The 14,153-nt window shown below is 40.2% G+C and overlaps 1 annotated feature.

Annotated features, from left to right (window-relative positions):
- Positions 6,800-7,999: an enhancer, noted in NCBI's record as "P300/CBP strongly-dependent group 1 enhancer chr14:97732279-97733478 (GRCh37/hg19 assembly coordinates)". NCBI's record gives its function as "activates an origin of replication core promoter dependent on BRD2, BRD4, P300/CBP, MED14 and CDK7 cofactors, with strong dependence on P300/CBP, by STARR-seq in HCT116 cells {active_cell/tissue: HCT116}" and the evidence as "EXISTENCE:reporter gene assay evidence [ECO:0000049][PMID:35650434]".

The following is a 14,153-nucleotide window of genomic DNA, read 5'->3' as shown; positions in this document are numbered from 1 at the left end:
CCAAAGTGCATCACTGAGTGGTGGGTTGCATGTGGGAGGATAAACCCTGCAGGCAGTTAGCAATCAGAGGAATCGATGAGACCGACACAGGCAGATGAGGCTTTAGGAAGGAGGAAAGGCTTTATTGGACCTTGGATGAGGCCAATGACTGGCAGAGGCAGAGAAGAGAAGAGAGGGTGAACCAGGTGACAATTCACAAAGCCACCAGGTGGTGAGAGTGAGTCCCTGATGCAGTAGTGTGATTTCCACTGTCACGAAGCCAAGGAGAATGGAATCTTAGAGTTGAAGGAACTGAGGCGTTCATGTTAATCAAACACTTGTAAAAATAGCAGCAGCTCTTACATGTAGAGCCCCTACTGTGTGCCAGGTACCCTGCTAAATGCCATGCAGTTTCTTACCTAATCCTTTGAGGCAACTCTGCACAAATGGTCCTGCTGTTCTCGTTGCAGCCATTGTTTCCATGGCATCTCCACTGCGGGGTTTCCATGCCCTGCTGACCCAGGTCCAAGAGCAAGCATCTCTCCTCCCATGTGCAGCAGCTCATTCTTTTAGGAGACATCTCTTTCTCCAGTTAAGACAACCGCCCATCTTTATTTGGTCATGGAGCAGGATGGGAAAGCAAGTGGACTCTGGATTCCTTCAGACCTGATTTTCATTCCAGTTCTCCCAGCTCTGCAGCTTTGGGGAAATGTTTTTATTTATGTCCCTAAGTGTCAGTTTCCCCATTCTTGAAATTGTCTTGCTGCTACCTAAGTGATAGGTGCTAGGACAGTTTAATGAGCTGATGCATGCAGAGGCTGCAGCAAGCATGCAGCCAAATACAAGTTAGTAATTAATATTTCACTCTTGCAGCACTCTATGCAGGTAAACACAATAAATTCAATCCTGCTTCCAGTGACATCTCTTCAAGACAGATAAAATGACAATAGCTTTCAAATGACCTCCCTGTCCATGAATACTGTCGAGAAAGCCCATGAAGTCTGGGCAACACAGCGAGACCCCATCTCTAAAAGTATTTTTTTTTAATTAGCCAGGCATGGTGGTGCATGCCGGTAGTCCCAGCTACTCGGGAGGCTAAGGAGGAAGGATTGCTTGAGCTTGGGAGGTTGAGGTTGCTGTGAGCTGTGATTGCACCACTGCACTCCAGCCTCATTGACGGAGTGAAACCCCATTTCAGAGAGAGAGAGAGAGAGAAAAGAAGGAAGGAAGGGAGGCAGGGAGAGAGAGAGAGAGAAAGAAAGGAAGGAAGGAAAAGAGAGAGAGAAAGAGAAATCTCATGACTTATTGCTGGTATCCCTGAACTGGCTCATAGTGACCACCTCTTTCCTTCCCATGTGCCATAAACAGTCTGTTAAATGATTCCTTCCAGAGTTTTGCCAGACACCTAAATCATGTGTCATCTTCTTTCAGAAGTCAGAACATTTGCCCACCTTCAGCCTTCCACGGTATGTTCTCCATGGTATTTTCAAAGTCAATGTCAATCACAGATGTAATTTCCATTAGTTCCTGGGAAGCAAGAGACACGAACCAGAGTATTTTAATCCAGTTATAGTCAGCACTGGATTCCAGGAGAAACCCCGTGTGAAGATCCATAATGGTTAGCTGGAGCATTGCTACTCAGACTGTGGTCAAGAGCTCGCTGCCTTAGCATCCCCGGGACCTTCAGAGAAATGAAAACCTTCCTGGCCTGTACCTCTTTCCCCTTTCCACCCCATCCTCTGCCCTGGACCTACTGTTTCAGAATCTGTATTTTGAAAAGATCCCCAGGTAATTGGTGTGCACATTATAGACTGAGACGCACAGAACTAGAGCAGTAGTTCTTAGAGTTGGCTGCATTTTAGAATTAACTAGGGAATTTTCAAAAACTTCCCATGCCTGGCCCCTATCCTTAGAGAATCAGATTTAACTCGTTTGGATTAGTTCCCAGGTGTGGGTATTTTTTAGAAGTTCACACAGTGATTCGAATGTGCAGCCAGAGTGTTGATCCCCCTCCTCCCAAACCAGAGCTATTCCATTCAGACACACTGGCCCCGCATACCACGACCACACTAGGCCTTGCAGCTGGAGGTCACATGGCCGCAGCTGTGGAGAGAGAAGTGCCCCAGAAAATAAGGACCTAGAGTGGCTTGATGAATATATTCTCATAAACAAGCATAAGTTTATACAGTCTCATTAAAGTACAGTCACATGCTGTGTTTATAACGATAGAGTTGCCAAAAAATGGGCGTCAGTAAAACAAATCGTATTGTCACAATGGTTATTATTATTGTAACAAAACTTTAACATTTCTTACCCCTCTGCCAATGCAATCACAATGCATAATGCATTTGAGATTACTTCCAGCTGTCTCCTACTCTATGAATGGGGACATTTCTGTGCACACAGCATTCAGACACCGTGTATATTTGCATGATAAGCAGCCATCTTCCCATTCATGAACAGAGGCCCAAAACTGGGGATGGCTGTTTGGTGGCCACCACGGATGGCCTCACACTTGGAAGGGGCCCCTCTTCCTCAGCCTGATAGGTCCATCATGATGGGTGATAAGTAAGGGATGGGCTAAGGCAGAAAAGATCTCAAATCTGAAGACCTCATGTCAAATCCTTATTATGCCACCCAGGTCCTGGTAAACTCGATAAGTTGTATGTTCTTATATGTAATAGACGTAGGTATGCCTGTCCTGACTATGTGAAATCACTGTTGTGAGGTTCAAATGAAATAGTGCTTTGAATGAGTTGCATAACAGCAGAAAACTCTACCCATATAAAGAATTGTTACTAAGCGCTGTGTTAGTAGTGATGGTAGTGACAATAGCAGTATTCCCACCACAAAGAGAGGGAGAAGAATCTCTCTATCTCCGAAACTCTTATATTTCCTGCTTTCTTTATAAAGAGAGGATGGATGGATGGATGGATGGATGGATGGATGGATGGTTGGATGGATGGATGGTTGGATGGATGGATGGATGGATGGATGAGTAGATGGATAGATGGGTAGGGTGGGTAAGCTGGGTGAAAGATAGGATGGATGGATTGCTGGGTGGTTAGGTGAGTGGATGAATCGTTGGGTGGGATAGATGGATGGGTGATTGTATGATGGTTTAGTGAAGAAATAAATGGAGTGAGGGAGAGAGGGAGAGGGAAGGAGATAATGCAGCCTTGACATGTGGCCCACCTCCCCCCTTACTACTTGCCCTCTCATAGCTCTAAGCCGATCATTTGAATGCCTTCCAGATCAAGTACAATCATTTTCGTCTGACCTATGAGGCCTTTGTTGTCTGTCCAAAGCTGTCCTTTTCACCCTCACTACTTTCTATTCCCCATGCTTTCCCACCACCCCATAGCCTGTGTTTTTCCAACTCCATTCTTTGGCTCTTAATGTTCTTGAGGCTGATTGCCACATTCACCCTAGGTGCAGAGTCCAACTCATGTGACTGTGATTTGGAAGCCTTCCCTGGTTCAGTCAATCCAAAGGAATTCCTCTCTTTTCTTCCATCATAGCACCTGCCTGTCTTTATTTTACGTAATGTTTACCTTTCCACGTGAATGTGGGGAGAGGGAAAGAAGCGTCATTTATTAAGCACCAGCCTTGGCACTCTCATATGATCCTGACAGCAACCTTATACAGGGCACATTATTTGTCCTGGGTTTACCAAAGCAGTAAGAAGAACTCAAAGAGGTCAGCCAACTTGTCTGAGGCGTATCAGTGGTGGAATTATAATTTAAACTGAGGTCTTTGACTCCATATGTCTACCATTCTCTCCACTGTAGTCTCTTTAGGAGTGGCCTAAAGCCCTGGAGGACATTAAGTTTTGGCTGATTTATCTGTAACATTGAGGTAATTCTAGAAAGGGGCTACAAATCGTAAGAAGAGTAACTGGTCAATAAATGTTATTTATTAGTTTTCACATTACTCTTATTCATGTTGAATGCCTACCTGCACAATGCCCTTCATAGGATAAGCCCCTAGTAGAAGCTAAGCATTATAATTTTTAAAATTGAAGTCGAAGCCCTGTGACCTAGTTCTTTTGGGACCACTATCTGGTCAGTTAATTAGAAAAGCCCATTGATATGGTTTGGCTGTGTCCCCACCCAAATCTCATCTTGAATTGTAGCTCCCATAATTCCAACGTGTTGTGGGAGGGACCCAGTAGGAGATAATTGAACCATGGGGGCGATTTCCCCCATAGTTTCTCATGGTAGTGAGTCTCACGAGGTCTGATTGTTTTATAAAGCGTTTCCCCTTTCACTTGGTTTTCATTCTGTCTTTCCTGCCGCCATGTAAGACGTGCCTTTCGCCTTTCGCCATGATTGCGAGCCCTCCTCAGCCACATGGAACTGTGAGTCCATTAAACCTCTTTCGCTTTATAAATCACCCAGTCTCAGGTATGTCTTTATCAGCGCCGTGAAAACAGACTAATACGCACATTAAAGTAGAAAATCTTAAATACCTTAAGACCTTTCTTTTTAATTTAAAATATATAATGTATTTTAACTTATCAAACTTTTGCTTTTGGGCCCAGGCCTTTGCTTTGAGGGGTTGGGGGCTATGATCTCGTTTTTATAAGCCACCTCTATAATGCAATCTCTATGATTTCCAGTTTCTTTCAAGTGTAGCTAAAACATGAAGATACGTGCCAAGTAACCAATACTCAGAATCCTTCTGAATCATTCTCATTTCCCCCCCAAGACTTTAGAATTATCTGATCTATACCCAATTTGACAGTCGTTTTAATAGTAACTTTCCTTTATAACATCTTTTGAAAGCCTTCATCTTAAGTTCCATGAAAACAACAAATTTCCTTTCACACTGTTTCATTGACTTATATGAAATATGTAACATTTAATTAAATTAGCTCATTATAAGAAGAACACTTGGAACAAGGAGGACTGGGTGAACCAAGTGACTCCTGGTGAGTGCATCACCTGGTAGGACATGTGTGGGCAGCCCTGGCCAGAGGTGGCCCTGGGCATGCCCTGGGCAGCCATGGGGGTGTTTCCATGAGAGCACAGAAGCGGCATTTCACCCACAGGTTGAGCGGAGTGGAAACAGGCAAGACAGCATCCCCTATAACTGATTGGTGTGCAGTGAAAATAGCACTAACTGCCGACTTCTTTAATTCACTAACAAACTCCCAGTGTAGACAGCAGGGAGTAGAAAGAGATCTGCTTGGACATGGTCTGGGTCTATATCTCTACCCCATTACTTATCAACCGTGCAAACTTGAGTAAGCCACCTTTCCCCATGCTTAAAATGATGTCACAGATCTTGCCACGCTTTTGCTAGGAATTGAGTGGGATGACACTGAGAAGGCTCTGAGCACATAGTAGGTAGACCAAAACAGGAGATGATGCTGCAATGTTAATCCTTGGGGTTTCTGGTATGTCGATAACATTAAGTGGGTTGAAATAACTGTCTCAGCTCCCTCCCTCCTGCTCTAAGAATCCTCTGAGTACCTTTTTTAAAATTAGCATTTACAAACCCCTCAGATCCTCAAAAAACAGAGACTTACCACTTACCCTGTTTGCACTTGCAAATTGTTTTCCTTTGAATTTGAAAAAAAGACACATGTGCGCATATATTATTAGGACCTGCTACTATGTACAAATGGAAGGTCAAACTCCACGGCACCCTCTCTGGTTTCAGGCAACACACTCCTATTTTAATTGCAAATCCATAAGCCTCTTTTGTGAATTGCTTTTGGTTTTTAAAGGAAGAGGAGTGCACAAGTCACAAGATCATTTACAGAACCACATCACAGAGACATTTTCTAATGCACATAACTGGATAATATGGTAATCAAACTAAATCAGTGGCAAAATGCTTTGAAATCTTAAATAAGATCTAAATCACAATTGTTCTAATATTTATAGTTTATAGAATTTCTTAGGCTAAGTCACACTGAAATGTATTCTCTTTCTTTTTCATTTTGGCAGAAACAGGAGTGACTTGGGAGTTAATCTTTTAAAACATGTTCAATTGTAGCAAGTCGTAATAAAATATGCATAATATGTACTTAATAAAAAGTAATGCCTCTACTATAAATTGCTTCATTGAGATATAGAAACATATTCTAAACCATAAAATGCATACAAGAAATGGAATGAAAGAGAAGTTACCTTTATTGTCAGTTTTTATTTCTGAAATGATCTAAAATTGAAGATAATGATTACTCATGGAAAAAAAAAAACTTCATCACATGCAGTATCAACATTGTTGGTGGCATTTTCTGACTCATGGGTGGATTTGTGGTCCTGGAGAGGTGCCTAGACATTGTAATTCACAAGAATTATAATTAACAAAGAAAAATTACTCATTTATTTACATTCCCATTTGAACACTAGATAAATTATTTGCTAAAAGCCCCTTAATGATCCCAAAGTACATAATTATCTAGTACATTGGTCCCACTTTCAGAGAATAGAAACTATAGCGAAATTACTTTTTTCCCCAAAAACTGTTCCCTTACAACTCCTGCTAGACATTTCTTTTATAGTTTTTAAAAGTTATATTGGTTTTGGTTTTTTTAAATATCAAAATATTTTATGCAAAATATTTCATTTTTAAAAAAAATTCCCTCTTGCTCTTGGGAGGGTGTATGTGCAATTGTTAAAGATGTTCTGCAGATTGCAATAAATTCTGAAATTAACACTGAATATATTTTCATATTATGTTTACATATGGGTAGGTTTTTTTTAGACTCCCTATCTTTTTTAGATTTATGAGATTCTCTACAATAAGATTTTGTGTGAGTATATTTAAATTTCATATGTGTATATATTTATACACACACAGAGCAAGATTACATACTTGCTTTAATTTCTCCCAATCTTAAAAACTCATAAAATATTTAAGCTGTTTCAGAACCAGAATAGAAATGCCTCAAACTGTTGTTTAAAATTACATCCAACCTTCACCTCCTCATGCTAATGAATGGGGCAGCATAACTGAGGAGTATCAATCAAAGGTAATCAATGCACAGCAGCTCAATGGTTAACCTTGTTCTTTGCCCACTCCCTCCTCCCCCTCCCCCTCCTTTGACCTTAACTACAGCTGCTTAGAAAATGACTCATTGGTCTCTCTCCTCATTGCCTGTCATCCGACTGATGAAACCTCCAGTTGGGAATAAAATGATCAAAGGGTGAGTAGAATGAATAATCTGTAAACTGTGGCAAACAGCTAAGGGTCAGTTGATTTAAAGGTTTCTGTGGCTTCATTAGTTCATTCAACAAATATGTATTGATAACTTAGTATGTGTGATGCATTGGCTAGTGGTTGGGCTACAACGAGGAATAAGTTGAACATTTTCCCTGTTTTTAAGGAGTCTGCAGTGTAGGAGAGGGGCAGGCACTGAAACACATAACAGTAGAATTATTACTATTAATAGTATATTAATAATATACTATTACTATTAATAGTAAATTAATAATATACTATTACTATTAATAGTAACAGTGTTGCTGTTCATATTATTATTAGTAACAGCCCTGAAGAGCAGCATAAAGAAAGTATATACCCGGGAGTCCTACCCTAGTTTGTGGAGAGAGTTGGAGTGGTCACGGGACTGTCCCCCAAAGCAAGTGACCCTTATGCTGAATAGAAGAGGTAGTGGGTAGGAGTAGGAGAGTTCAGCCAAGAGAAATACATAACATGTGTGAAGATCCTAGGGAAAGAAGAGGCTTGGGACATCAAGGAAAAGATGGGAAGCTGCTGTGGCTGGGGCGCAGATAACCAAGGAGCTAAGCTATCAAGAGAAGTTGAACAGCTGAGAAAGGATGCTATAAAGCCAAGTTAGAATGTGGACTTGATCCTGGTTGCCACTGCAGGGCTGAAGTGGAGCGGACTGCGACTGTGTGGACACGACCACACCTGCGTGTTTCAAAGCTTCTCAACCTGCTGAATGAAGAACAAATGGGGACTTGGCTTTAAGGCTGTTGGAAAATTCCAGATGCCAAATGATGGTGGTTTGGACTGGAGCTGGAGCTAGATAGAGACAGTTGGGAAGAACCCACCCCTGTAGAAAAGGTCACTTGGGTATATATCTACTGCACTGCTGATAACCAAGGAAAGGCTTACAGAGCAAGGTGCAGGTACAACATGCATGCTGCATTTTTTACGGTACATCTGTTAGGGGCTGAAATGCCCTAACTCCCAATACCTCCAAATTGGACTGCATCTGGAGACAGGCTCTTTAAAGAAATGATTGAGTCAGCATAAGGTCCTTAGGGTGGGCCCTCATCCAATCTTCCTAATAGCAAGAGTAAACTTAAACACAGAGAGACACCAGGGGCACACATGCACAGAGGGAAAACCACGCCAAGAGCCTCCAAGAAGACAGCCATCTACAAGCCAGGGAGAGAGGTCTCAGATGAAACCCCCCTCCCCCAACCCTCACCGCACTGGCACCTTGATCTTAACCTTCCAGCCTCCAGAACTGATCAAATAAATGTCTTTTGTTTAAGCCACACAGTCTGCTGTATCATGTTATGACAGCCTGAGCAAGCAACTAATGCAACATCCAAACAGAACCCCATTGAGATTCAGAGTATAGAATAAATAGCCGCGATGAGCCCTTTTCCATATAGTTCACACGTGGAATAATGAAACGAGTGCTCACTGTGGCTATGGCATTCGGAGAATAAACAGCTGGGATTTCTTTAGTGAGCGATAAAAAAGTTATACGTGTGTCCTGGTCAATAAATTAGAGAGAAACTTTTCTAGCACTGTTGTGGATAAAATGCTAATTAAAGGGAACCACAGGAAGGCGTGGCAGGGCTCCAAGTCTTGAAGAAGAGTCAAAGGTTATGTAGAAAACCTTCTAACAAGGAAGTGGGCTTACTGGGCTAAAAAAGTAGAGTGGTACCATCTGCCAGCACTCTCTGTGGTAGACATGGCAAAGAAATAAATTGATGTGAGGAGGAACAAACAATGTGTCATTACATATTTATCTATCTATTCAGCCCTTTATCCTTCCAGCAATTCATTTTCTTCTTCATCCTGGCATTTCATATTAAGTTGGAGACATCAGTACACTTCATTCCTAAACAATGCAATATGCTTATCGTTGACGAAAGATCAATACTGTCATGCGCCGCTTAAGGACAGAAATACGTTCTAATAAATGCATTGTTAGGGGATTTCATCATTGTGTGTACATCACAGATTGTACTTACACAAACCTAGATGGCACAGTCTACTACACACCTAGGCTACATGGTACAGCCCATTGCTCTTAGGCTCCAAGCTTGTACAGCATGTTACTGTACTGAATACTGTAGGCAATTGTAACACAATAGGCAGCACTCACGCCTGTAATCCCAGCACTTTGGGAGTCCGAGGTAGGCAGATTGCCTGAGGTCAGGAGTTCAAGACCAGCCTGGCCAATATAGTGAAACCCTGTCTCTACTAAAAAAAAAAAAGTTAGCCAGGGGGCATGGCACATACCTGTAGTCCCAGTTACTTGGGAGGCTGAGGCAGGAGAATCACTTGAACCCAGGAGATGGAGGTTGCAGTGAGCCAAGATTGCGCCACTGCACTCCAGCATGGGTGACAGAGTGAGACTCTATCTCAAAAAAACAACAACCAAAAAAAAAAATAGAAAAAGTATGGTAAAAAAAATATGGTGTAAAAGATAAAAAATGGTAATGGTCCACCTGTCTAGGGCACTTAGCATGAATGGAGTTTACAGGACTGGGCATTGCTCTGGGTGAGTCTGTGAGTGAGTGGTGAGTGAATGGGAAGGCCGAAGACATTACCGTGCACTACTGTAGATCATAAACACTGAACACTTAGGCTATTCTGAATTCATATATGAATATCTTTTGTCAATCATAAACAAACCTTAGCTTATTGTAACTTTATAAACAATTTTTTTAACTTTTTGACTTTTTTGTAATAACACTTAGCTTACAACACAACAAAAATATTTTTATTTTTGTATCCTTCCTCTATAAGCATTTTTCTATTTTTTTTTTTTTTTACTTTTAAACTTTTTTGTTAAAAACTAAGAGAAGCACACACCGTACCCTAGGTGTACACAGAGTCAGGATCATCAACATCACTATCTTCCACCTCCGTATCTTGTCTCCCTGGAAGGTCTTCAGGGGCAATAACACACGGAGCTGTTGTCTCCCACCATAAAAATCCCTTCTTCTGGGCCAGGTACAGGGACTCATGCCTGTAATCCCAGCACTTGCGGAGGCCAAGGCAGGTGGATCAACTGAGGTCGAGAGTTCGAGACCAGCCTGGCCAACATGGTGAAACCCCATCTCTACTAAAAATATAAAAATTAGCCGGGCATGGTGGTTTGTGCTTGTAGCCCCAGCTGCTCTGGAGGCTGAGGAAGGAGAATTGTTTGAACCTGGGAGGCGGAGGTTGCAGTGAGCCGAGATTGCACCACTGCACTCCAGCCTGACAACAGAGCGAGACTCCATCTCAGAAAAAAAAAAAAAAATGCCGTCTTCTGTATACCTCCTGCAGGACCTGCCTGAGGCTGTTTTACAGTTAACTTATTTTTTTAATAAATAAGAGCAAACTCTAAAATAATGATAGAAAGTATACTATAGTAAATACTTAAACCATAACATAGTTGATTATTATTATTATCTACTGTACAGAATTATATGTGCTATTCTTTTATACAAGTGGTAGCAAAGTAGGTTTGCTTACAAGAACAACACCACAAACATGTGAGTAACGCATTGCACTGTGACATTACCGTGGCTACAACATCACTAGGTGATAGGAATTTTTCAGCTCTATTATAATCTTATGGGGCCACCGTAGTATATGAAGCCTATTGTTGACCAAAACATCATTATGCGTTGCATGACTATATTTATTTTTGGTTCTTTTATTAGGTGAAATCTACATAAAATGTAATGAACAAACTTTTAAAAAGTTTTAAATAACTCTATTAGAGTATAATTAATATACACGTTGTTGAGTGCTGATATATACAGTGTACACACTCATGAGACTATTTACCACAATCAAGACAATGAACAAATCCCTCACCCCCAAAGGATTCCTCATGCCCATTTGTAACTCTTCCCACCTCCACAAGGAACCATGGATGTGCTTTTTGTCAGTAGAGAGTAGTTTTTATTTTCTAGAGTATTATATACATGAAATCATGTGGTCTATATTCTTATTTTATATGGTTTTTGTTTTACTCAGTATAATTATTTTGAAATTCATCCAAATAGTTGATCAATAGCTTATTTATTTTTATTGCTGGAGAGTATTCTATTGTACCTATAAGGCACAGTTTTTCACTTGTTGATAGACATTTGGGTTACTTCCAGTTTGGGGTTATTACATGTAAAGCTGCTGTGAACATTCATGTGTCAGTCTTCATACGAGCATGTGCTGCCGTCCTTTCTCTTGGGAAATACCCAGGAGTGGAATGCCTGAATCATACAATAGGTGACTGTTTAGCTTTTTAAGAAACTGCCAACTGTTTTCCTAAGTGGTTGTACCATTCTATATTCCCGCCAGAAGTGTACGAGAGTTCTGGTTGTTCTACATCCTTGATACCCTTTAATTGCTATCCATCTTTTAAATTTAACTATTTGAGTAGGTGTGTTGTGATATCTCACTAAGGTTTTAGTTTGTATTTCCCTAATGACTAATGATGGCCAGTATCTTTCTATGTATTTATGTACCATTTGTTTATCTTCTTTGGGGAAGCATCTGTTCCGATCTGTTGTTAATTATTTTATTGGGTTGTTTGCTTTCTTATTGTTGACTTTTGAGAGTTCTTTGTACATTCTGAGTGCAAATCCTTTATAAGATGATTTAAACATAGTTTCTCCCAGACTGTCACTTGTCTTTTCATGTTTTCAATAGTGTTTTTTAAAGGAGCATAGGTTTGGATTTTGATTAATTTACCAATTTGTTCTTACACACATCACATCATGCCTTTGTGAGTCTATAAAGAAATCTTTGCCTAATCCAAGGTCATAAATGTTTTCTTCTAGAAGTTTTGTAAACTTTATGTTTTATGTTTAGCTATGTAATACAATTTGAGTTAATTTTTGTTATGGTACAAGGTACAAATTGAAGATTAGAGTTTTGTATGTGTGTGTGTGTATGGATAGCCAATTGTTCTAACATCAAACTTTCTGGGCTCTATGCTATGTTCTACTGATCTATCATAATTCCTTTATAGCTTTATAAAATAGGTAGCTTTATACTAAGTCTTGAGATTAGACGGTGTTATCCAATCACCTTTAATCTTCTTTTTGAATGTTGTTTTAGCTATTCTAGGTAATTTCTATTTTCATATGAATTTTGAAATCAGATTATCAATTTCCAAAAATAAGCCTGTTAGAATTTTGATTTTGATAAATCTGTATGTCAGCTTGAGAGTAAGTGTATCTTAATGAGTTTTCCAAATGAGATTTCTAGACCATTTCCATTTAGACCATCAGTGTGATTATTTGATATGGTTGGATTTTAACTGATAATATTGTTATTTATTTTTCTTTTTTTTTTTTTTTTTTTTTTTTTTTTTTTTTTTTTTGAGACGGAGTCTCGCTCTGTCGCCCAGGCTGGAGTGCAGTGGCGCGATCTCGGCTCACTGTAAGCTCCGCCTCCCGGGTTCACGCCATTCTCCTGCCTCAGCCTCCCGAGTAGCTGGGACTACAGGCGCCCGCTACCACGCCCGGCTAATTTTTTGTATTTTTAGTAGAGACGGGGTTTCACCGTGTTAGCCAGGATGGTCTCGATCTCCTGACCTCGTGATCCGCCCGCCTCGGCCTCCCAAAGTGCTGGGATTACAGGCGTGAGCCACCGCGCCCGGCCTGTTATTTATTTTTCATTTACCTTTCTTTGTTATGTTTTCTTCTCTTTCTGCATTCTTTTGAATTAATTTAACTTTTAAAAATTCTGTTCAGTCTATTTAGGCTGTTAGTCTATCAGCCGTAAATCTTTGATTTTTACATTTTACTTTGGCATTTGTGTATTTTCTTTTCATATATGTCATCAATACAACACCACATTGTTATTATTTTATCTAAGTGCTCAATTATCTTATTAAAGAGATTTAAATAATAAGTAAAACATATATTAGCCTACCTAAATATGTAAACATTCACAATTTCTCATGCTGTTCATTTCTTTGTGTGGATCCGGACTGCAACGTATTCCCACCTCGCTCTTCTCCTCTTTGGGCATTTAAATTATCCATATGATAGGCTTCTTGAAGTTGTTCCACAGTTCACTGATGCTCTGTTTTTTTTTTAAATTCTTTTTTTCTTTTTGTGTTTCACTTTGGATAGCTTTTATTGGTATGACTTCAAGTTCACTCATCTTAGCCAGTATATTTTTTATTACATACATTGTAGTTTTTATCTTTCATCTCTAGAAGTTCAGTTTGGGTCTTTCATACTTCCATGTCTCTACCAGACCCTTTGGCCATGCGAAACTCAGTTACAGTAATTTGTTTAATGCTCTTTCTGCTACTTCTATCTGTGCCAATTCTTAGTCAAGTTCCATTGATTGACTTTTCTTCTCATTATTGATGGTATTTTCCTGCTTTTTTACATGTCTGATAATCTTTGACTGGATACCAGGTATGGTGAATTTTACCTTTTTTTAATATATATATATTTTATTATACTTTAAGCTCTAGGGTACATGTGCATAATGTGCAGGTTTGTTACATGTGTATACATGTGCCATGTTGGTGTGCTGCACCCATTAACTCGTCATTTACATTAGGTATATCTCCTAATGCTATCCCTCCCCCCTCCCCCACCCCACAACAGGCCCTGGTGTGTGATGTTCCCCACCCTGTGTCCAAGTGTTCTCATTGTTCAACTCCCACTTATGAGTGAGAACATGCAGTGGTTGGTTTTTTGTCCTTGCGATAGTTTGCTGAGAATGATGGTTTCCAGCTTCATCCATGTCCCTAAAAAGGACATGAACTCATCATTTTTTATGGCTGCATAGTATTCCATGGTGTATATGTGTCACATTTTCTTAATCCAGTCTATCATTGATGGACATTTTGATACAGGAATATTTTGGTATTCCTATATTCTTGAGCTTTGTCCTGGATGCAGTTGAGTTACTTCAGTACAGTTTGAACCTTTGCTATGCTGCTTTTAAGATTTGCAATGTGAGCCAGGAACGGGGGCTCATGCTTG

Source organism: Homo sapiens, chromosome 14 (genome assembly GCF_000001405.40).
Source record: "Homo sapiens chromosome 14, GRCh38.p14 Primary Assembly".
Classification (NCBI taxonomy): Eukaryota; Metazoa; Chordata; class Mammalia; order Primates; family Hominidae; genus Homo; species Homo sapiens.
The sequence above is the reverse complement of the archived record's forward strand: the minus strand, read 5'-3'. Positions and strand labels throughout refer to the sequence as shown.